Here is a 25,932-nt window from a genome sequence, read left to right as displayed (position 1 = left end):
TTTTTTCTTGTAAGTTTGTCTGAGTTCTTTGTAGATTCTGTATATTAGCCCTTTGTCAGATGGGTAGATTGTAAAATTTTTCTCCCATTCTGTAGGTTGCCTGTTCACTCTGATGGTAGTTTCTTTTGCTGTGCAGAAGCTCTTTAGTTTAATTAGATCCCATTTGTCAATTTTGGCTTTTGTTGCCATTGCTTCTGGTGTTTTAGTCATGAAGTCCTTGCCCATGCCTATGTTCTGAATGGTATTACCTAGGTTTTCTTCTAGGGTTTTTATGGTTTTAGGTCTAATATTTAAGTCTTTAATCCATTTTGAATTAATTTTTGTACAAGGTGTAAGGAAGGGATCTAGTTTCAGCTTTCTACATATGGCTAGCCAGTTTTCCCAGCACCATTTATTCAATAGGAAATCCTTTCCCCATTGCTTGTTTTTCTCAGGTTTGTCAAAGATCAGATGGTTGTAGATGTGTGGTATTATTTCTGAGGGCTCTGTTCTGTTCCATTGGTCTATCTCTGTTTTCGTAGCAGTACCATGCTGTTTTGGTTACTGTAGCCTTGTAATACAGTTTGAAGTCAGGTAGTGTGATGCCTCCAGCTTTGTTCTTTTGGCTTAGGATTGTCTTGGCAATGCGGGCTCTTTTTTTGGTTCCATATGAACTTTAAAGTAGTGTCTTCCAATTCTGTGAAGAAAGTCATTGGTAGCTTGATGGGGATGGCACTGAATCTATAAATTACCTTGGGCAGTATGGCCATTTTCATGATATTGATTCTTCCTACCCATGAGCATGGAATGTTCTTCCATTTGGTTGTGTCCTCTTTTATTTCGTTGAGCAGTGGTTTGTAGTTCTCCTTGAAGAGGTCCTTCACATCCCTTTAAGTTGGATTCCTAGGTATTTTATTCTCTTTGAAGCAACTGTGAATGGGAGTTCACTCACGATTTGGCTCTCTGTTTGTCTGTTATTGGTGTGGAGGAATGCTTGTGATTTTTGCACATTGATTTTGTATCCTGAGACTTTGCTGAAGTTGCTTATCAGCTTAAGGAGATTTTGGACTGAGACGATGGAGTTTTCTAAATATATAATCATGCCATCTGCAAACAGGGACAATTTGACTTCCTCTTTTCCTAATTGAATACCCTTTATTTCTTTCTCCTGCCTGACTGCCCTGGCCAGAACTTCCAACAGTATGTTGAATAGGAGTGGTGAGAGAGGGCATCCCTGTCCTGCGCCAGTTTTCAAAGGGAATGCTTCCAGTTTTTGTCCATTCAGTATGATATTGGCTGTGGGTCTGTCATAAATAGCTCTTATTATTGTGAGATACGTCCCATCAATACCTAATTTATTAAGAGTTTTTAGCATGAAGGGTTGTTGAATTTTGTCGAAGGCCTTTTCTGCATCTCTTGAGATAATCATGTGGTTTTTGTCTTTGGTTCTGTTTATATGCTGGATTAGGTTTATCGATTTGCGTATGTTGAACCAGCCTTGCATGCCAGGGATGAAGCCCACTTGATAGTGGTGGATAAGCTTTTTGATGTGCTGCTGGATTCAGTTTGCCAGTATTTTATTGAAGATTTCTGCATCGGTTTTCATCATGGGTATCGGTCTAAAATTCTCTTTTTTTGTTGTGTCTCTGCCAGGCTTTGGTATCAAGATGATGCTGGCCTCATAAAATGAGTTAGGAAGGATTCCTTCTTTTTCTATTGATTGGAATAGTTTCAGAAGGAATGGTACCAGCTCCTCTTTGTACCTCTGGTAGAATTCAGCTGTGAATCCGTCTGGTCCTAGACTTTTTTTGGTTGCTAGGCTATTAATATTGCCTCAATTTCAGGGCCTGTTATTGGTCTGTTCAGGGATTCAAATTCTTCCCGGTTTAGTCTTGGGAGGGTGTATGTGTCCAGGAATTTATCCGTTTCTTCTAGATTTTCTAGTTTACTTGCGTAGTGGTGTTTATAGTATTCTCTGATGGTAGTTTGTATTTCCGTGGGATTGGTGGTGATACCCCTTTATCATTTTTTATTGCATCAATCTGATTCTTCTCTTTTTCCTTCTTTATTGGTCTTGCTAGCAGTCTATCAATTTTGTTGATCTTTTCAAAAAACCAGCTCCTAGATTCATTGATTTTTTGAAGGTTTTTTGTGTCTGTATCTCCTTCAGTTCTGCTTTGATCTTAGTTATTTCTTGCCTTCTGCTAGCTTTTGAATATGTTTGCTCTTGCTTCTCTAGTTCTTTTAATTGTGATGTTGGGGTGTCAATTTCAGATCTTTCCTGCTTTCTCTTATGGGCATTTAGTGCTATAAATTTCCCTCTACACACTGCTTTAACTGTGTCCCAGAGATTCTGTTATGTTGTTTCTTTGTTCTCATTGGTTTCAAAGAACATCTTTATTTCTGTGCAGCTTTTTAACTTCATGTGAGCCTATTTGTCCATTTTTGCTTTAGTTGCCTGTACTTGTCTGTATTACTTAAGAATTTTTTGTCCAAACTAATGTCCTGGAGCTTTTCCCCAATGTTTTCTTGTAGTAGTTTCATAGTTTGAGATGTTAAATTTCAGTCTTTAATTCATTTTGATTTGATTTTTGTATATGGCGAGAGATAAGGATGTAGTTTCATTCTTCTGCATATGGATATCCAGTTTTTCCCACAGCATCATTTATTGAAGAGACTGTCTTTTCCCTAGTGTATATTCTTGGCACCCTTGTCAAAAATGTGATCACTATAGGTGTGTGGATTTGTTTCTGGGCTCTTTATTCTGTTCCATTGGTCTATGTGTCTGTTTTTATGCCAGTACCACACTGTTTTGGTTACTAAAGCTCTGTAGTATAACTTGAAGTCAGGTAATGTGTTTCCTCCAGTTTTGTTCTTTTTGCTCAGGATAGCTTTGGCTGTTCTGGAACTTCTGTGAGTGTAAATAAATTTCGGGAATGTTTTTTCTATTTCTGTGATGGATGTCATTGGTATTTTGATAGAAATTGCGTTGAATCTGTAGGTTGCTTCGGGTAGTATGGACATTTCAACAATATTGATTCTTCCAATCCATGAACATGCAATATCTTTCCTTTTTTTTTTTTTTTGAGATGGAGTTTTGCTCTGTTACCCAGGCTGGAGTACAGTGGTGTGATCTTGGCTCACTGCAACCTCTGCCTCCTGGGTTCAAGTGATTCTCGTCTCGGCCTCCGAGTAGCTGGGATTACAGGCACGCATCACCATGCCCAGCTAATTTTTGTATTTTTTAGTAGAGATGGGGTTTCATCATGTTGGCCAGACTGGTCTTGAACTCCTGACCTCAAGTAATCTGTCCACCTGGGCCTCCCAAAGTGCTGGGATTATAGGCATGAGCCACTGTGCCCATCCAGAAATGCTACTGATTTTGATTTTTGTGTGTTGGTTTTGTATTATGCAACTTTATTGAATTTATCAGTTCTAATAGTTTTTTGATGGAGTCCTTAGATTTTTCCAAATATAACATCATATCATCTGCAAACAAGCATAATTTGAATTCTTCCTTTCCAATCTGGATGCCCTTTATATCTTTCTCTTGTTTGATTGCTCTAGCTAGGACTTCCATTACTATGTTGAGTAACACTGGTGACCAGTGGACATCCTTCTCATGTTCTAGATCTTAGAGGAAAGACTTTCATTTTTTCTCCATTTAGTATGATACTAGCTGTGGGTCTGTCATATGTGGCTTTTGTTATGTTGAGATATTTTCTTTCTATATCCAGTTTTTTAGTGTTTTTTAATCATGAAGGGATGTTGAATTTTATCAAATGCTTTTTCAGCATCAATTGAAATGATCATATGGTTTTTATCCCTCATTCTGTTGATACATCACATTGATTGATTTGTGTATGTTGAACTATCCTTGTGTCCCTGGGATAAATCGCACTTGGTCATGATGAATAACCTTTTTAGTATATTGTTGAATTTGGTTTGCTAGTATTTTGTTGAGGATTTGTACCTCAATAGTCATCAGAGATACTGGTCTGCAGTTTTCTTTCTTTGATGTGTCTTTGTCTGGCTTTGGTATAATAAATGCACCCTTTAAAAGAGGAAATTTGCTAACTGAAATAAGTCCATAGTTAATTTACTTTTTCCTCCTATCTTTCCACAAAGAATTTGCGTTTGCTTACAGTAGGAGCAAATAAAATAGCAACAAAATATAGAGAACTGGAAGTGGGGATTGTGAGAAAGAATTGAGAATCTAGATTGAAGAAAGATATGTTACCATAGTTACTAAGACTGGGACTTAAATTGCTTTACTCTACTAAAGAGTCAAAGCAAACCGAGGGGCACAGCCAAGTAGGTAATTCTCATTTACTTTGGGTCTTTGCTCAACTATTACCTCAGTGAGCTCTTCCATGACCACTTTATTTAAAAGTGAAATAAGCCAGGCACAGAAAGACAAATATTGCAAGTTCTCATTCATATGTGAGAGCTAAAAAGGTTGATTTTTTGGAGACAGAGTAGAATGACAGTTAACAGAGCTGGGAAGTATGTATGTATGGGGGGAAAAGGGGTGATAAAGCACAATCATACAGTCAGAAAAAATCTAGTGTTCAATAGCACAGTTAGTGACTGCAGTTAACAGCAATATATTGTATATTTCAAAAAAGCTAGAAGAGAATATTTGAATGTTCCCAACACAAAGAAATAATAAATGTTTGAGGTGATGGATATCCTAAATACACTGATTTCATCATTATACAATGCATGTATCAAAATATCACATGTGCCCCATAAGTATGGTCAAATATTATATATCAATAGCAATGAAAAAATAAGAATAACAATAAAAATAGCAATCCTAGCTCATATCCACATTCCCTGTCTACCTTTCTGCTTTTTTTCATAGTGCATATAACCCAATGATTTACTTGTTCGCTGATAGACTTGTTCATTTATACATTGTCTCTCTTTCCCTACTACAACACAAGATTAATGAGAAATGAAATGTGGCCTGTTTTTATTTGTTTCCTTCTATCTTGACTTAGATCAGTGCCTGGAAAAATAGTAGGAGCTCATTAAATGTTTGAAATCAATGGGCTAAAAGCTATCAAGAAAGTATATGCTAGCCAGAAAAAGAAAGAATACAGAAACATTTATATAATACAATGATTACAATCAGTTGTTAAAACAATTGATGTTCAATATTATGTAAATGGAGAAAGTATCTTCAGTATATGGCAAGATTGTTAGAGCAACTTAAGCCTGAAAATCGTAGCCAAATATAGAGCGCCCAAAGACTTTGATTTCCAAATAGCGAATCATTTAAACTCCAAGAAGAAAATATTATCATCCAGAAATGGCAGAATCATTATACCTTTTTCAGTATATTACTGTTAAATAAACCATAATAATAAATTATAATAAAATAAATAATGAAGGACAAAGTTTGATATCTATTTTTTTCTTTACGTAATTTTTCTCAAGTGTTTTACATTGGATATTTTTATTGATGCCAAAGATAGGCATGCTAATTAGTTAATTCCCTATGGAAAAAAATCACTTCGTTCTTGCCCTTCTTTAAATTTAAAAGCTTAAATGAAATGTGCCTCTACATTGCTGTGAAACTCTTGAGTAGACAAAGTTGTCTCTGAACCAATGACCACTCAACAGTCAGAGAAAATATGCTAGGATGACATGAACAAGCAATTGGGATTTCTGTGCTAAATAAAAACTAGACATAGGTATGGAATCCTCTGAGCAGCAATCTTGTTCTCACCAAAATTTTTTGGAAGTGTTTGGGGTGTTTTTTTGGGAGTGATCTCAGATTCAGGTTAATTTTAGTTATATAATAACAGAATGTCAAAAAGAAATCGATTTTTACTTTTTTTTCATATAAATCATGCACTTTCACATGTACACTGAATGTATGCATTCAATAGTACTAGGCAAGAAGACTGGAATAGAATTAACATTTTCTAGCATCACATGACACTCTAAAGAGACATACATATCCCTGCTATCCAGAAATTAATCTACTTAGTGTAGCAAATTTTAGAAATTATCTTTGTCTATTACTAAATTATCTTTATCTATTTAGAATAAGCAAAAAAAATTTCTGGGTGTCTCTATGGCATTGCTTAGAATATTATTAATCTTCATGGTCTTTGAGTTATTTTAAAGTCCATAAATTACAGATAATTGAGAGCAATGCAAAAATATTCTTATCTGTAGGAATAAACTCTGTTCCAGTGAAGGTTCAATTGACTTCCCTCTCTCTGCCTGTGGAAAAAGCCAGTTTTGAAATCCGTTTCAACATATCTTCTCCATAAATACTTTTAGTTCTTTGATTTCTTCTTTGAATAGGTTGTAACATTTACTGGGTTCCCTCTTGATGATGAGTTACATAAAATCTTTAACACGTGTTTCTTTTATGTTTAATGAGAACCATAATTTTACCTTTTTGGAAATTATAATTTAACATTGTCACAATTGAAATGGCTGATAAGAATTTTATTCACTATCTTTCTACTAGCTCTGGCCTTCATTGACTATCTGGGTTTCTTACTATCCTATTTTCAACAAAACAAAAAACAGAATTCAAAATTTAGAGCAATACAAGTTAATATCCCCAGTTCCTATGTGTGTTAGCCTTTTACCTTCTTTATATTGTGATAATTTTTAAATACAGCATTTCAAGGACTACAATCCTTGCCTACAATTTTACAGATGTTTCACAGAAATCTTTTAAGCTCAATGCACAACTAACATCACTAGTTCCTCTTCTGTTGATTCTGATAAGAAGACATGTTCCTGTTATACACAAAGTCCAAGTTTCTCCCTCATGAATACTAATTTCTGTCATGGTAATTTCACCTGGGAAGTCACAGTTCTTCAGCAAAAACATCAACTGAGTTTTTACTAGCAAGTGTGTTTTTGGAGAAGAAGTTTTGACAGATTCATCTCTAGTAGCTCAGAGATGCCCAAATAATTTTCTGAAACATTTGCCATATAATGTAATCTCTGTCCTCATGGGGATTATGTTTTAGAGTGTACCTGTGGAGAGGGCAGTGAGGAGTGGCAGAGAATAAACATATTAACAAGGAAGATAATTTCAAATAGCAAGAAGAGCTATGAGGAAAAGAAAACAGGCTAGTGGAATAGAGGATTATGGGGTGGGAGGTTCTTTCCACAAAGTAGTCAGAGCTGAACTTTCTGAGGAAGTAATAGATAAGCTGGGATATGAAGCTCTGCCAAGGGAAGATCTGGGGGAAGAGTTCCAGGCAAATGACCTGAGATAGAATTGATCTATCTATGCTACTGCAGTGATCGTGACTGTCATCCACAATAAGAAATATACAGTATTTTATATCCTGAACTAGTACATATTAAGTTCCACAGAGTGACACTCATACTATGTGTGATGCATTCTAATAATTTCTATATTACTCTATCCTGTTTAAAATCCACTAAATTGATTTCATGGCCAAACACTAGCTTGGTAGTTTAGGGCTTTTAAGCATGGGTTTGAATCTCAACTCTGCAACTTACTAGCTGCTATACTTTCACTATGTTACTTAACCTCCTTGCTCTCCAATTTGTACATCTTAAAGTAGGGGCAATAATAGTATCTGTTCATAAGGTTTGATATCAAATTTCCTTTTAGAAATACTGAACTAACTTATACCTCTAATTTTTAGTGTATTTTATACACTATATCTCATATAGCCAAATATAGTATTTTATACACTATATCTCTAAACCCACACCATTCATCTTTTTAATCTTTGACAACTTGATAGGTAAAAAATCATTCCTAATTGTTTTAATTTGCATTTCTTTTCTTTATAGTGAGGCTGGACATATTTTTCTATTTATTGGACTCTACATGAAGTTGCAGTTTTCATTTCCTACAAAACGTTAAAAAATGATATAAATTAAATGTAAAAATGTACTACCTATATAAGGCTTCATCTAATAATAGCATTATATTATATTATATAATTTATAACTTATCATTATAACTTGTTTGTCACTTATCAGTAAATGAAAAATTATAGCATTGTTTTATACTTACCTCCCACTAAACTACATAGACCCAATAAAAGAAAAAAGATTTTTTTGAGGGGATGGATAAAAACAATGAGAATATCAACTAGAACTTAGTCTTTGAAATGATTATAAACAGAAAAATACCAAAATTTGCATTCATTTTTCATTTTAACTACCGGGCTTCAATATTTTTAAAATTATAAGTCATAATTGCAGACACACAAATGAAACCACCAGGTAGTCAAAAAGATACACTCAATTTCAGTAATATCTAACAGACGTATTGGAACAGCTGCCTATTGTAGAGAAAGAAATGGTTATGCAATGGAAAAATAATTAAATAAGAGAAGGGCTTTTCATGAACTAATGATATATAACTGTGGGCCACGAACTCAAGAATATGCCTAACTCAAGCCTCTTTTTTTGTGGCGGGGGAGGGTGGTGGGCGCAGACGGAGTTTTGCTCTGTCGCCCAGGCTGGAGTGCAGTTTGCGATCTTGGCTCACTGCAACCTCTGCCTCCTGGGTTCAAGCGATTCTTCTACCTCAGCCTCCTGAGTAGCTGGGATTACAGGTATTCCCCACCATACCCGGCTGATTTTTGTATCTTTTTGGAGAGGCGGGGTTTCGCCATGTTGGCCAGGCTGGTCTCGAACTCCTGGCCTCAGGTGACCCGCCCACCTCAGCCTCCCAAAGTGCTGGGATTACAGGCATGACCCACCACACCCTGCTCAAGCCTCTTTCTGATTTCAAACTGCAGGTTAAGACATTTCTACATTTTATACTTTTTCAAGAATCTACTTTTTTAAAAAAAAATATGAAATCTCTGGTGACATTACTTAGTACCTTGCATATGCAGGACAATATGCTAGATGCTACTACAAGATGGGTAAACTTATCCATTAAAAGTAGCCAGGCTGGGCACGGTGGCTCATGCCTGTAATCCCAGCACTTCGGAAGGCCAAGGCAGGGAAATTGCTTGAGGCCAGAAGTTCATAACCAGCCTGGGCAACACGGCAAAACTCCATCTCTACTAAAAATACAAAAATTAGCCAGGCATGGTAGTATGCACCTGTAGTCCCAGGAACTCGGTAGCCTGAGGCACAAGAATTGCTTGAACCTGGGAAGTGGAGGTTGCAGTGAGCTGAGATCCTACCATTGCACTCCTGCTTGGGCAACAAAGGACTCTGTCTCAAAAATAAAAAAATAAGAAATAAATTTTAAAAAATAAAGTATCAAACTTAGGGGAAAAAAGTAGTCAAAATCAAATATCTCTCCTGAAAAATGACTTTCCTTCTCAATTCTCAATTTGTGGCAGTGAAAATTTCGCTTCTGCTGTTATTACCTCTAAAACTCATGGAATAAGAAATCCTCAATTCAGTCAGACTGATGGAATTTGCAATCATGCAACATCAAACTTAAATTCCCTACCTCTGTAGGCCATCTGCAGACATTCAAGTAAAATTTAATTAAGAGGATACAAAACAAAAATTAAATTATTTTGGATTAATTGGAAGAGGAAATAAAAGAAATTCTCAAACACAGATATTTAAAAAGTTACATGAAAATAAATACTGTAAAAACCACAATGGGAATTTAACTTTCTTAACATTATGTTTAGATATTAAGTATTAATGATAATTTTATCCTTTATTTTCCATAAAGTTAAAAACATTTGTACCATGCTTTCCTTTTGATTAGAACTCTGATAAGCTGCAGTTGTTGCCCTAAGAAAACAGCAAGAAATAAAGCCAATCACTTCCTCTTCCTATGCCAAGATAAGACTCAGCTGCCAATGAAGTTAAATGGCTGGGGGCGGTGCCGGGGGAAACACTGGGTATGGGGAAAAAGATCAGAAGATAGAAAGTATCTTCTGCATCAGGTTGGTTAGAAACTCGGTTTATCTGCTCAAAAGAAGCTACATTTCAAATGTCTTATTAATTCTCTCAAACACACATAAACACAATGAAATAAAACATAACTAGTAGGAACAAGGTTTTCGGAGATAGGTGGCTGTTACTGGAAGATAAGATTATGACTCCAGAAAAGACAGAAAATGAAGACAGTGTTGCTAAGTCTTAAAGAACACATGAATAGAGACACAGAATTTCTACATATTTCTGTTACAGCAAGACTGATGTCATGGTACTTTGAGTTTTTCCTTTTAATCTTGCCTTATCACTTCTTTTGAATAGGAAACTGAGAATAGTTTGTACAGAGGAGGTGGGTATTTTTCCTCTCAAGGATTAGTGAGCAACAAGGGGGAAAAGAAACCAACTAGAGATCTACATAAAAAACAACATAATTTAGGTTGACAGGTTTAATTTTTTCTTTAGAGATTGTCTATTCTAAACATTAGATACATTGTTTCACAATCTTAACACTTTGTTCAATAAATATTCTATAAATTTGAGAATTACATGTACTAAAAACACAGTTCTATGATGTGTTAGTTGAGGGAAATAAGGGGAGGAAAACCAGAGAAAAAGAAGAAAAATAGAAAAGGTGAGGGAGAAATAAGGAGCAAATATTTATTGAGTGCCTCCATGTGTTAGGCATTTTACATACAAAATGAGACTGAATCCTCATAAAAACTTTAAGAGGTGGGTAGCATCATACCCATTACAAATGAGGAAATTGAATCTCTGACGGATTAAGTAATCAGGATCACGGGGGCTAATAAAGAGTAAAACCGGGATTCAAAATTAGATCTGTCATACTTCAACCCCCTTTTCATTGTTTCATAATGCTCAGCTTCTGCACTGAAGTGGAAGAGGTAGGGGAAGATGTATGCAGAAGAAGAGAAAGTGGTTGAGATGCGTGGGGAGGGAAAAAACACATGAGAGAACGAGACTCAACAGAGACAGAAAGGAGATGGGTGGTAGGAAAGAAAGGCAGAAAAGGAATGTGTGAGAAAGCAAAATACAGCAAGTTGCATACGAGGAGCTGCTAGAAGAGACACAGAGAAAAGTTTGAAATTCTGTTTAAAATACAGGTTTCAAGCAAATAAACAATTTTAACCTATCTATTGGAATATCTATTATCAGAGTAATTACTTTTGACAACTCAAAGGACTGTAACCCTTACATATTTTGAATATTGTTTCTCAACTTTGGCACTATTGAAATTTTGTGCCAGATAATACTTCGCTGTAGGGGACTATGGCATTATACGATGTTTACCAGCATTCCTGGCCTTTTCCTATTAGATGTCAGTACCACCTCCTTAGTTTCAGCAATAAAAAAATGTCCAGACATTGTCAAATGCCCCCTATGGACAAAAGGCCCCCAGTTGAGAACCACTGATTTAGAAGTTCCAGTCTGGATGATTTAAAAAAATGAACAAAAGATGCCTATCAAATGCAAAATTATTCCCTGAGTTACTCTAGTGACTGGATGTCCTTAGGAACAAGATGAGATTAAGTTAGGGCAGAATTCAACTAAGCTCATAGCACTTATTACAATATTGCTTGCAAACTGCTTTTAAAATACGTGAAAGGAAGTGAGTATAAACTAATATTTAGTTTTGAACTACACCATCTAAAGTAGGGCAGAAAATTTGTCAGACTGTTTTTCCATCATGTAATGTGCTTTTTGTATTTGTGAAACAAACAAACAAACAAAAAACACTAGCTTTGGTGTTCGGAAACCTGGGTTCTAGTCTGCTCTAGCATGAGTTAGCTGTAGGACCTACAGCAAATAACGTGGCCTAGGGAACAACTATTGGCTTCTCATATTTTACCAAGAGTTTAAATATACACTTCTAAGAAAATAGTTAAACAACTTCATATGTATATATTACTGATACTATGTTGAAGGGCAAGTGTGGTGAATACAGTATATTGACTTGCTTATTCTCCATTCCCTTGCCAAAATGTGGTCCATGGGCACAGCATCAGCATCACTTAGGAGTTTGTAGAGATGCAAAATCTCAGACCTCACTCCAAACCAACTGAATCAAAATCTGCATTTAATAAGAGATGATTCCTATGCACACTGAAGTTGAGGAATACTTGTGTCAGTTTCCATTGCTATAAAAAAATCAGACACAGACAATATAGCACTGGATAATTTATAAAGAAGAGAGGTTTATTTGGCTCATGGTTCTGCAGGCTGTACACGAAACATAGTGCTGGCATCTCCTTCTGGTAAGGGCCTTAGGAAGCTTACAATCATGGCAGAAGGTGAAGGGAGAGCAGGCAGTGTCACATGGCAAGAGGGAGGGAGGGAAGGAGAGAGAGGGAGAGAGGTCCCAGATTCTTTTAAACAACCAGATCTTGTGTGAACTAAGTGGGCGACAATTTACTTGTCACCAAAGGCATAGCACTAAGCCGTTTATGAGGGATCTACCCCCATGATCAAAACACCTCCCACCAGATCCCACCTCCAACACTGTAGATCACATTTCAGTATGAGATTTGGAGGCAACAAACGCCCAAACTATATTAATGCTGTTCTGCTTTTCGCCTCAGGTGGTTTTCTAATTGCAGAGGCTGGAAAACTTAAAATTGCCTTTCTCAGATTTCGTTTCAGTTAGGACTTTGGTCCAAAATTAGGCCTAACAGCTAACACTCACATGCTAGATAGCTATGTGCCAGAGACTGCTCTAAGTACATCTCATATATTATTAATTCATATAATCCTTCCAATAATCCTATGAAGTTGTTACAATTATTCCCATTATGCAGATGCAGAAACTGCAGCCCAGAGAGGTTAGTTACTTGCCTAAAGTTACAGTCAATAAAAGGCAAACCCAGGTAACCCTGATCTAGAATCTGTACTGTTAATCATATTTCTACTGATAGATCAAAAGGCATGGACCCCCCTCACTGAACCCCCCATTTTGTTTTCTTTTTTACAGATCATCTCATGGAACACACTTTGGCAAATGCTGTTACAGAAGTTCCTTCATTTATTTACTTACATTTATCTATGAGCCAGCATTGTTCTGAAAGTTCTAGGCATTGCCAAAGGCAAGAAATAGAAATGAGACATTATCATTTGAAAGGAAGCAAAATTATTTTTATCTATAAACTGGATAATTATATACCTAGAAGATGCAAATGAATCAAGTCTAAGAGCTACTAGTATTTATTAGTACCAGTATAAAAATTTAGAAAGATGGCCAGTTAAAAATGAAATACATAAAAGCCAATAGCTAGAAACCACCAACAAAATATGATATGGAAAAAATCCTTTTCATAATACCAACAAAAATATAAAAACTTAATACAGACTTTAATATAATCCTTAATACTATAAAAGATTATAAAGCAAGGCAGAAAGTACATTATTCAATGATTAGGACAAAAAAAGATCAGCTCCATACTTCATACAATATAGAAAATCATTCTAAAGAGATTAAATATATAGAGTAAAAAATTAAACCATAAATGCACACATACAAAAGAAAACATAGGCAAATATTTAACTGATTGTAAGATTAGAAAAAATTTCTTAATATGTATAGAAAGAGATACGTGTATACATGTGAGTGGTGTGTGTATATACGAAATTACCAAAAAAATTCCTTTAATAAAAATTCAAAGCATTATCAAATTTTAAAAAACATAAATAAAATTATAAAGTAAATAGCAAGCAGAGAAAATATTTACAGCCAATGTGAAAATAAGGGATTAATATCCTTATAATGCCAAAAGAAAAAAAATGACTAAAAAGAAATACAAATGCCTAATAAATATATGAATGGTTTAGTAAACCTCTCCAGCAACAGCTTACAATATGATAGAAGTTTCACCTATGAAATTGGCAATGATTATAAACTATATTGTTCATTGCTGGCATGGATGGTTTCCAACTGGCCTTTTTACACACCAGTGCTGCAAGTGTAAATGAGTACAACCTTTCTTGAATTAAATTCTTTAGGATGTTTCAAGAGGCTTCAAAGAGTTTGACTCATTGACCTAGTTCTTCTACTTCTAGGAATCTATACCAGGGTAGAAGTTTAAGGATTTACAAGCAAATATTTTCAGACAGCACGATTTATAAAAGAAAGCTTGAAGCAACTTCAATGTGCGGTGTTAGGGGAATGAATTATTTGGCAGCCCTAAAGAGAGTTTTCACATAGAATTTCCATAACATGGGAAAATGACACAACCTTTTGTAAAAGAAGACACAAAATTATATTTATATTAAAACATATTAAAAATACATGTGTGGCTGGGCACAGAGGCTCAGACCTGTAATCCCAGTACTTCGGGAGGCTGAGACGGGAGGATTGCTTGAGGCTAGTAGTTTGAGATTAGCCTGGGCAACATAGCAAAACCCTATCTCAAAAAAAAAGTGTGTATATATGCATATACACATAGACAAATGAATATACTGTAGTAATACCAAGTTTCATATTTGATATCAAAATATTTGATATCAAAATCCCAAAATAGAGTGGGATTTCAAAGGCTTTTTTCTTCTTTAGATCTTTCTATAGTTCTAATTTTCCAAAGCACACATTACTTTTATAATCATAAAGACGTTAAAGCTAGAGTTAATAATTCGAAAGTCAATCTAAGGATAATGGGACTTCCCTATTCTCTAGGTAAGAGGGTCATGTTAGGTTATTTCAGATTGTGAGTGACCTGTACATTGTGCCACATCTAAGCAGATGCTATTGACATTTAAGGCATATAATAATGGACTAGAGATGTTTAGCCTTTCAGCTATGCATCAGGGCACAGAAACTCTTACATAAAGCCACCTGGCATTCACCCTCATGAACATACTTGGATCATCTCTCATACACACAATTACCAACACATATATGGAATAGCTGTGTCCTGTCCCTTCAGTTTCTTGGACATTCCCTGAAATTGCTTCTTTCCCTTGCTTATCTCTCTTTAGACACCTGATCCTATTTCAAACCTGGCACAGTTTCTTCATCTACAGGACTTGATTCATTCTCCCAAGGCCTCCTTTCTTAAGTGACTTGATTTTAACCAGGCATCCTTTGTCAATCGCCCTACCTGGAAAGACTCAGGCCAGAATGACAGAAGAACCTTCATTTTTTGCTCAAATGGAGTAGCATCTAAAGACAAATTGTTAAAAATGATGCAGACAATATCTTAACTAGTAATAAAACACCTATGTTAATACTAGGTGTTTTATATATTTCATATATATATGAAATAAGTAACAAAATAAAGATACATTTTGTTCTGGTATTGTAATAACAAGCTGATGAAAGAGCTTTCCAGGTTGAGGAAAAGGAATGAACCTTTCAGACAGAAGTGGAAAGAAAAATCAGTGAAGGAAGGGATGTATGTGGACGAGGATTTAGCTTGAGAAATAGCCCAAGAAAGAAACCTCCATCAAATTATTAGGAAAGGGCAAACTCTGTGAGGGGAATAGAAATAGAAAGGGACTTAATACAGAAAATTAGGTGTTGACAAAATCATTGAAAGAGCTAGAGGAGCACAAGTCAGGTGCCTCTGGAGCTATGGTGTTCAAGAGCATACAACCATAGCTCTTTTCTGGGTTAAAAGGAGCGCCTCTGCTAGCTCCTGCCTCTAATTTCCTCTCAATACCCATGAGGCTATCCATGACTCCGGAACACGAAGTGAGCGTGCCAAGTAGAAAAGACGGCAGGAAGATGGCCTCTGTCTCATTTCCAGCTAATTAGTTTTGGTTCTGTTCCTGTTTATATCATTGTTTTCATGGAAAAGTTCACCTTAAGTTCTAAATCATTAACTTAGAAACCAATCTTTCAAAAATATTCCATTTGTAATCTGGAGTCCTTGTATCCTTAAACCAACCAACAGGACAAACAAAAATCATCTCCCTAAATAAAAACTAAATAAAATGAGTCCTTGGGATATGTTCCATAGTTGTTAATTTCATTTCTTCCTCAAATATCTTTACACATGTAATACTATTTCTACCATCATTACATGGCAATGCATAATTTCATTTACAGAACTTGAAAAAAACTAGAAAACAAGGCTTTGTGATAACATTACCAAGAAACGTTTTATCAGAAAAGCTTGCTTTTTACAACAATGGGTTGGGTTGCACCAATTTTTTGCTTATTTTTGTCTTCTTGACTAATTCTTCTTTGGTGCTAATGTAGTAGGAAATGCCTATCTCCGGTGTGATTTTCAATTATTGTGTATGGGGGCTTAGAATACATTAATAAATCTTGAGGCAAAAACAGAATGATAAAAATAACACTTCAAAGGAGTACAGGAGAATGAACTTTCATGACATTCAATGAAGGAGGCAGGTATGCAAAGTGATATGTTTTCTAAGATGTACTTTTCATTTTTTGTTTTATCCTTTTACTTTGTACCATAAGCAATTTTGGAAAGACCACAACTATTAGTGATGTCTACATAATCATACTAATGAAGTACACAGAAGCTTAAATGAAGTATTTTTATATGCTCCCTTACAACTATTTGAAAATTTACTTTGGAAACCCCTGCTCAAATGCAACCCCTCCCCACCCCCAAAGGAATTCTTGTGCTGTCTTCTTCACTTTTCCAGTTAAGCAATTTAAGTTAGAGGAAATCAAGCCCTTGAGCAAATGAATAGTTAACGGGAAAAACCACTAGGAAGGGAATCCGAAGAACAAGCTACCAAATTATTTGCTTGAGTCACTTTCTCTTATATTGTCACAGATGAAAAATTACACTCCACGTGGTGATCAAACCTAACGCTAAGGCATATTTTGTGTGCCACACAGTATTACTCTGTTTCCTAAGTAACCTATTGAAACAATGTAAGGTATACATCTATTAATGCATTTAGTGATGATACTGGAATTTGTGAAACGTGACAGAAAGGACAGATGAAGAAAGATGAGGAGAGACAGGTATTAATTGTCCTAACAGTACAGGCTGTAATAAAGGCCAATAATCATTTGAATTCCTGCTCCTTAATGTGAGTCTAAAGAGCGGCTTACCTCAGGTATTTGGAAAGTCTAAATACTGTATTTGCTGTAGAAAATTCATCCAACATACAATTCAATTTTTAAAATTAAACCTTTTGCCTAATCTTTAAGATATTTGATGTTATAATGCCCATTATCACACTTTATTTAAATGAGATAAACTCAGAGAGTTTAAAAAATTACGCAACTTCTCTTTTCCCTTACTATGGCTGGCCTCTTATAACCGAAAGCAATATTCTTGCCTCTCCACTTTTTAACTGAAGCTTTGATCTCATCTGTATTTATGAAGAACGTGCTCTGGGAGAGTCCCTGTCAAGACATTCATTGTAACACCCGCTCCTACTCATGCTTTCAGCGCTGCCCGTGGACGGAATCCACCCACACCTTCCAGACACGCTAGGTGTGGGCTCGGAAACGCAAGATGGAGGGCGGGAGGGGAGCCGGCGTCTCCTAAACCTGGCGCAGGGCACGGACTCGAAGTTGAAAAAGAAGTGTTTACAAGTGAGGCTTTTAAATAAATCACCGCTATGGAGGGCATTTCCTCCGAGCCCTGGGCGCCAGCCTGAGAATCCTCTGCCGGACGCCAGGGGACGAACCACGCTGACCCCGCCAGACACGCGACCCCGGGGCCGGCGCTGGCGTCTGCACTCGCGCGACCCCGCCGCTCCTCCTGGGAGCGCCGTCTAACCGCTCCCGGCGACGACTTCCCAGAGCGCCGGGGAGCCAGTGCCCACGCGGGGCAGAGCTGCGGCGCGGCCCGCGGGCCGGGCCCCTTCCCTCCAACGCCGGGCGGGGCTCGCGGCCCCCGACCCGGCCGCTTCGCCGCCGCCCCTCCCCGCGCTCACCTGCTCGCTCTCCTTCGGCCGCTGTCCGCGCCGCCGCGGGCTCGCCCCGGGATCCCACCCGGTCCCTGCCGCCTCCCGCTCCGCCAGCGCGTCCCCGTCCTCGTCGCGTTCCCCGCCGTCGCCGCCCCGCAGCAGCTCCCCGGCTGAGCACATCCCGCAGCCAACTCCTACCGCCCCGGACAGCCGCCGGAGGACCACGCCGCGACGCACCAGGCAGCGCCGCCGCCCGAAGGCTGCCCTGGGATCCGCCGCACCCGCCGCTGACAGGAGCCGCCGGAGCGCGCCCCGCCGGCCTGGGCGCCTGAAGTACCAGCCCGGCCCCTCCTGTCACTGGCTCGCCCAACCCCCGGCCGTCGGGGCGGAGCCGTACAGGGGAGGGGCCAAGACAGGGGGCGGGGCCAACGGTGTGTTGGGGGGCGGGGGTGTGTGTGTGAGATTGAGAGAGAGGCCGACAGACTGAGAGAAGAAGGGTGTTGTGTGAAAAACTATGGACATACACTGCATGAGGGAGATTGTACATGAGAGAGGCTGTGTGTATGTATGAGGGATATTGTGTGTGCGTAAGAGACCGTTAGAGAGTGTGAGAGAGACGCTGAGCGTGATTTGTGTGTGTGTGTGAGAGAGATTCTATATAAAAGAAACTGCGTATAAGAGATTGTATGCACTTTGGGAGGCCGAGGCGGGCAGATAGCTTGAGCCCAGGAGTTGGAGACCAGCCTGGGCAACCCCATCTCTACTAAAAATAGAATTAGGCGGGCGTGGTGGCGGCAGTGTGGTCCCAGCTACTCAGGAGGCTGAGGTGGGAGGATCGTCTCAGCGCGGGAAGTCGAGGCTGCAGTGAGCAGAGATCACACCACTGCACTCCAGCGTGGGCGACAGAACCAGACCCCGTTTCAGAGAGAGAGAGAGAGAGAGAGAGGAGGGGGGGGGGAAAGAGAGAGAGAGAGAGAGAGAGAGAGAGATTGAGATTGTATGTGTATGCAAGAGACTGTGAGAGAGAGATTGTATGAGGGAACAACAGAAACTGAGAGAGATCAAGTGTGAAAGAGAAATTACTTGTGTGAGAGAGCCAGTGCATATATTTAAGAGAGAGCGCATTTGTATAAGAGATTAGTGTGTGTGGGTTTGTATGTGAGAGAGAAACACACACATGCACCCAGTTACACTCTCCAGCAGAGTACCCCTGTTCTTGCCTGAGTATCTGCCCGTCCTTTTCAAGGAAGACACATTTCACTGTCCCTCTTGTTCCTTTAGCCTCCTTTCCTAGTGTCTCACTGAAGGTCTGTGTATTTGTCCCTTTCTGTTGAGTGCTTCCTAGTGTGTGTTGTTTGTTGGAGCCTTGGGTCGTTTGATGGTGTATCAAATGATGTATCTTTCTGTAACTGGGTAAGAATATGTCTTTCTCAGTGGGTGGTGAGGGGAATATATCCAATTGATAATTATTTTTTGTACTACTCCATCCATTTTATTCAAGGAAAATGGAAGGGTGTTTAAATAAAATATCACTTTTTTTTCTGTGTATGCCTTATCTGTACATTGGGAAAACGATGGGTTATTGTACAGGTAAAATACAGAAAAGTAAATATGGAAAGTAAACATGTGTACACATGGAGAAGAGTAAGAGTTATTTGGGATCTTCTATTAAAATGTTTTCAGGCCCAGAGAAGGAATTAAAATAGGCAGAATCTCATAGGCTTATTTTAAAGAAGTTTCCTGTTTTTTGTAGTCAGGAGATTCTCAGTCTTTCTCACACACCCACAATCTCTCATACACACAATCTCTCTCATACACACATGATTTCACATACATACAGTCTCTCTCACACATATACAACCTCGCGCACACACCATCTCTCACACATGGTTTCTCACACATGCCCTCTCTGATTGTCTCTCCTCCACAAACAATCTCTCTAGGGGCCAGAAAATATGCCGTTGGATATCAAAAATTAGAAAGAAAATGAATCTGGTTCATTCCCTTTCTTAAAAGTCTTTAAAACTCCAGAAAAGAGTATTTAATATTATATACATACAATCAGAAACAAATATCACCATGGGAACCCAGTAGCCTTTCTGATGGGCCTCATTTTTTTTCCCCTGAAGGCAACATTTTCATTCTTGGAATTTTGGTTTGGCTATTAGTAGTGTTTCTTATAAAAACCAACTTTTTTTTTTTTTGGCTGGGCGTGGTGGCTCACGCCTGTAATCCCAGCACTTTGGGAGGCCGAGGCAGGCGAATCACAAGGTCAAGAGATGGAGACCATCCTGGCCAACATGGTGAAACCCCATCTCTACTACAAATACAAAAACTAGCTGGGTGTGGTGGCACATGCCTGTAGTCCCAGCTACTAGGGAGGCTGAGGCAGGAGAATCAGTTGAACCCGGGAGGCAGAGGTTGCAGTGAGCCAAGATCACGCCACTACACTCCAGCCTGGTGACAGAGCAAGACTCCGTCTCAAAAAAATAAAAAAATAAAAATCAACTTTTTTGGATAAAACTTTGGAATTATATACAGCAACCCAGAGAACATCAGCTCTTTACTGCCAACCCCATGAACTAAGGCACATTTTGAAGTTCTCCCTCATAGCGTTTGATTGGCAACTTGATAAGCCAAACAACTATGCACTCTTCAATCAGGCTACAGTGAGCAGAAATTCCTTATATATAAGAGGACTCAGAAGGCACAGAGTATTTATATAGCTGGGCAGGTACAATACAGAGGTTAGCTTTGTTCAGCTTAGGGGACAAGTCTTACAAAATTCCTTTAGAGTATACTGTCTGGTCTTTTGTAGATTCCGGCTTCTTGAGTCTTTGAGAAGTGTATTAATTCAGTTTTTTAGTAGGTATTTATTGAACGCTACTAGGCTTTAGGCCCAGGTCTAGGTCCCTATTCTCTTATTGAACACTACTAGGCGTTTGGCCCAGGTCTAGGTCCCTATTCTCATGAAGCTTCATTTTAATCCAATTCTTGTGTTATTTTCTTGGCAGAAACCAAGAACTTTTACCGAAGAGTAGCCAGAATCCTTGGATCTCCACCTAGGACTGAAGGCAGAACCTTTTTTTTTTTTCTTAATATCATTTACCTTTAATTTAGTGAGTGAGTTTTTCTTTAAGCTGTTATTCTTTTGTTCATAGAGTCTGATTTTTCCTGGAGATCTGGAGAACCACCTCTTTAAATAAATCTAGCATTTTACACAAAAGACATTAAACAGATTACAGCCTAATCTTATGGGAGGAGAGGGCTGTTTTCACTCTGCTGCACAATGTGAAAAATATACACATAAAGCTAGCACTGCCAGTTTCCCATGGGAAATATAAGATTGTTATTACCTAGGCAACTATAACATGTTGGTCTCAAATCATATGTAGTGGTTTTTTTTTTTGTTTGTGTGTGTGTGTGTGTGTGTGTGTGTTTTGGCAGAGTGTCGCTCTTCCACCCAGGCTGCAGTGCAGTAGCATGATCACAGCTTACTGCAACCTCCACCTCCCAGGCTCAGGCGATCCTCCTGCCCTGCCTCAGCTCTCTAAGTAGCTGGGACTGCAGGTGTGTGCCACCATGCCAGGCTAATTTTTGTATCTTTGTAAAGATGGGATTTTGCCATGTTAGCCAGGCTGGTCTCGAACTCCTGCGCTCAGGTGATCCGCCTACCTTGGCCTCCCAAAGTCAAATCATATGGAGTTTTGTTGTGATTTTATTAGTGTGTTTTGTGCTTTCCCAGAAATAAATAAGTGCAAGAAACAGATGCACGTCTAAGGAATGGCCTGTCTAGTGCAAATGTGGCTGGTGCAGTTGCTATGGGAACAAGGACTTTTAATCCTTCACTTTCATGCCTTTATTATTTTTAATGTTCCTCTATTCTTATTTCATTTGTGCATCTTTCCAGAGGGAGAAACGAGCAAATCAGAGAGTTCTGGACTCAATTGGTAATACAATCTTAGAAAAACAAATGCAGTTATTTGTGGAAACTACCCCAAATTACATTTGTTGGTTTGATTTTTGACACACTATAATGTTATTCTAAGCTTCCTATATGCTTTAATTTTTCTCATATGATTTTCATCTGCTTCCTTTCTATTTAGCAGGGCACAGGGAATTATTTTTGAGATGTTTGGAATCTGAACCAAAATTCCAGGAAACTATGGTTCTTGCACAATTGATGTAAATTTCAAGGAAAGGAAACTTGGAGAGGCCTCACTTCCTTTAGTGTTCTTTCAGTTTAAGGAAGCTGTATCAGCTTAAACAACGCTCTATTAATGCTCTCTTGCCTTCCCAGAGAGTCCATTCTGATTGGGAGAAGGAGAAATTTGCTCTTTCTGTTGGAATTAATTTTTGTTTTATTTTTTGAGACAGAGTCTTGCTCTGCCACTCAGGCTGGAGTGCAGTAGTGTAATCTCGGATCACTGCAAACTCCACCTCCTGGGTTCAACCGATTCTCCTGCCTCAGACCCCCGAGTAGCTGGGATTACAGGCGTGTGCCACCACACCAGCTAATTTTTGTGTTTTTAGTAGAGACGGGGTTTCACCATGCTGGCCACGCTGGTCTCAAACTCCTGACCTCAGGTGATCCGCCCGCCTCAGCCTCCCAAAGTGCTGGGATTACAGGTGTGAGCCACTATGCCTGGGTTGGAATTAATTTTTATCCTCTCTGCTCTATTAACGTTCTCTAGTGTGATTTTGTTGCATTCAGATGCACTGCTGAGTTCTCTCCTTACAGTAGGAAGATAGATTAACAGTTGTTTTATTAAAAAAAAAAAGTATTGAGAAGGCTATTTAAACTTATTGCTAGAGAAAAAAGTGGAAATATAGACAATAATTAAGCACTATTTAATATCTGTTAGTAATTTTTAAAATGTCGAATAAAACCTAATGTGAGCAATATTTTAGAGAAATGGTTAAACTCAGGCATTGCTAGTAGCTCTGAAAACTGATAGCATTCTTTTGGCAGTACATACTCAGAACCACAGAGATATCCGTACCCTTTGGCCTACTAACTCCAGTCCTGGGAAAGAATTAAAAAAGGGGTGGGGTGGGGGACAGAGAGATGTTGTCCCAAGGGTACAAAGTTTCAGTTAGACAGGAAGAGTAACTTTTTGAGATCTATTGCACAGCATAGTGACCATAGTTAATAATAATGCATATTTCAAAACTGCTAAAAGGGTAGATTTTAAATGTTCTTACCATAAAAAAAAGATATGTGAGCTGATGGGTAACTTTATTATCTAGATATAATCTTTCCACAATGTACACATATATCGAAACATCACATTGAACCTTGTAAATGTGTACAATTATTATTTAAAATAAAAGTAAAAATTAAAAAACAAAAAGGGGAAAAAGTTGTTTGCATAAAGATGTTCAAGGCAGAATTATAGTGAAAAGCTGAAAGTAGCCTAAATGTCTTCCTGTAAGAAAACACCTAAGTAAACTGTGGTATACCAACACAAATATGTAAAGCCTTAAAATGGTAAAGATTTTATATCAATGTGATAAACATTTAAATATAATGTTAAGTGAAAAAGTGAAGATTGGTAGTAACAGAGTCACTCAGTTATCCTGTACCCCAGGAGCTAGGCAGGTAAAAAGAGTAATTCAGGACTTAGCTTCTCAGCTTAGGAAATAAGTCTCACAGAGGTGAAATTATGTGAACAAAAAGATCAAATTTGGAAGATAAAATTTTAAAATGGCTTTTTGGACAATGTGACTCTGGGGTATGTGTTTCCTTGTAAAATTAATTTTAATGTTGTAATTTAAAAATAAACCATTTAAAAAGATCTATATCTGTTTTTCTTGTAAAATGGGATTGCTGGCACCCAAAGTCTGGTTGATTCAACTTCATAGATGAAAGTTATATTACCTTTTGTTGAATTATTTAGTTCTTGAATGAGTTTGGATCTTTTATTCATGTTGTTCTCAATAATTTAGAATCTTAGAGTTGGAAGGAATCTCAGAGGCAGTTTATAGCAAGCTATCACCCAATGTAGGATCCCTTCTATAACATTTCTGGTAGATGGTCACCCTTCTTCTGCTTGAAGGCCTCCAACTATGGGAAACTCATTACTTCATGATACTGCCTATTCAATTACCAAATAACTAATACTAATTGTTAGAAAGTTTATTGCATCTCCTGACTTGAATCTATATCCTTATCTCCTCTGCCTCTTGGTCCTAATTCATTTCTGAAGTACAAAAGAACGAATTAATTATTATTATTATTATTTTTGGTGACAGTCCTTTCAATTTTTTATTTTTTTATTTTTTATTTTTTAGAGACAGAGTCTAGTTGTGTTGCTCAGGCTAGAGTGCAGTGGTACCATCTCGGCTCACTGCAACCTCCGCCTCCCTAGTTCAAGCGATTCTCCTGCCTCAGCCTCCCGAGTAGCTGAGACTACAGGCGCCCACCACCACGCCCAGCTAATTTTTGTATTTTTAGTCGAGATGGGGTTTCACTGTGTTGGCCAGGCTGGTATTGAACTCCTGACCTCGTGATCCGCCTGCCTCAGCCTCCCAAAGTGCTGGGATTACAGGCGTGAGCCACCATGCCTGGCCTCAAACTTTTTTTAAAAGTGATTTTGTCTTCTCTTATACTTTATTCTTTTTACTGTTATTTATGGATAAATGTTGGGTTTTGCTATTGTTATCTGTACCTACTTTTTTCTTTTAGGCAAAGCACATTTATTATTCACAGATGAGCAGTAAGGTGTACCTACTCCTTTGTTAACAATACCCCAGCTTTTCTTATTGACCAGTCTCCCACTCCCAGTCTGTGATTGGAATGGAGAATATGGCTTTTACTAAGTAAATTAAATTCATTTTACTCTCCCCACCTCCCATGGCCACTGTGATTGGTTCAAGAATAGGCACAAGTCAGGCCAATCAGGGCCAATAAAACTCAATTTGGGGACTTTTGTTTGTATTATAAGAAAAGTATTGTCTACAGGATTGGCCTGTGATGGTATGAGCTTGGAACTGCAGGAGGACAACCATATAGGGCATAAGAATGAAGTCAGCCCAGCAGAATACATGATTGAGAGATGAATATTTTTAGCTAGCTACTCCAAATATTAGAGCTACACCTGTATGCTTTTCTCAGTTATGTTAACCCATAAATCTATCACCATAATGTTGTCCCCAATTTTTTTCCATAAGCCATGTTGAGTTAGCTCTTCATCACTTACTAAAGGAATCAGAATGATATAAACTCTAAACTGGGATACAGGAGAAATGGCTAGTTCTGCCACTCTCAGGCTGCAGAAATTTGTGCAGTTTATTTAAAATTTCTGCTATTGAATTTCATAGTGAGTAAAATGAGCAGGCTGAACCAGACAATTTGAAAAATCTCTCTCTCCTTTAAAATTCTATGATTTCAGCCTGGGGCGGTGGCTCACGCCTGTAATCTCAGCACTTTGGGAGGCCGAGGCGGGCAGATCATGAGGTCAGGAGATCGAGACCATCCTGGCTAGCACAGTGAAACCCTGTCTCTACTAAAAATGCAAAAAAATTAGCCGGGCGTGGTGATGCACGCCTGTAGTCCCAGCTACTCGGGAGGCTGAGGCAGGAGAATGGCGTGAACCCGGGAGGCGGAGCTTGCAGTGAGCGGAGATCGCACCGTGGCACTCCAGGCTGGGCGACAGAGCAAGACTCCATCTCAAAAAAAAAAAAAAAAAAAAAGAAAGAAAAGAAAAAAAAATCTATGATTTCTATCTGACTTTTCTTCTAGATCTAACCTGAGTGCCTTGGCTGCTGTTCTTTTCATTTATTCCAATTAGTCAAGTTGTTCTGATTGGAGATACTAATTCTCAAAAGTGAAAGGATAGAAGGAATTTTTCTTATGCTGTGTCTTAATCATCATAATTAAATTATCTAAGGTTATTTTTGCCAACACCTCCCCAAAGATCTTTAAAATGTTTTGATATACATATAAGTTGTCCTATTATAATTCCAAGGTATCTATTATTTTAACACTCTGCAATGAGAAAAACCCTCTTTACTCAGTGAAAATTAGGTCTATTACATTTTTGCCTCCACATTTTTATTCTGAAAAAATTCACACCTTAAGAAAGGTTGCAATAGTACAGTGAACATTCACAGGGTGTTCACCTGGAATGTCCAGTTGTTAATATTTTTTCTAAATTTGCTGTCCTGTATGTGTTTTCCTGGCTAAGCCTATTACTCTCACTGAGTTGTTTTTAAGTTGAA

General features: G+C 38.2%; 1 protein-coding gene across 1 annotated transcript in view, besides 2 other annotated features; it reads right to left on the bottom strand.

Annotated features, from left to right (window-relative positions):
- FAM241A (family with sequence similarity 241 member A) overlaps positions 1 to 18,016 on the bottom strand; it is a 49,803-nt gene extending 31,787 nt beyond the window's left edge. The window contains exon 1 of the mRNA NM_152400.3: positions 17,737 to 18,016. Coding sequence (NP_689613.2) covers positions 17,737 to 17,889 — 153 coding nt within the window. The 5' untranslated portion in view covers positions 17,890 to 18,016. The remainder of the gene's footprint in view (positions 1 to 17,736) is intronic.
- Positions 17,106 to 17,245: an enhancer, noted in NCBI's record as "active region_21820". NCBI's record gives its function as "activates an Ori minimal core promoter by ATAC-STARR-seq in GM12878 lymphoblastoid cells {active_cell/tissue: GM12878}" and the evidence as "EXISTENCE:reporter gene assay evidence [ECO:0000049][PMID:35858748]".
- Positions 17,586 to 18,235: a silencer, noted in NCBI's record as "silent region_15633". NCBI's record gives its function as "represses an Ori minimal core promoter by ATAC-STARR-seq in GM12878 lymphoblastoid cells {active_cell/tissue: GM12878}" and the evidence as "EXISTENCE:reporter gene assay evidence [ECO:0000049][PMID:35858748]".

The sequence above is a fragment of the Homo sapiens genome, chromosome 4, assembly GCF_000001405.40.
Source record: "Homo sapiens chromosome 4, GRCh38.p14 Primary Assembly".
NCBI lineage: Eukaryota > Metazoa > Chordata > Mammalia > Primates > Hominidae > Homo > Homo sapiens.
The sequence above is the reverse complement of the archived record's forward strand: the minus strand, read 5'-3'. Positions and strand labels throughout refer to the sequence as shown.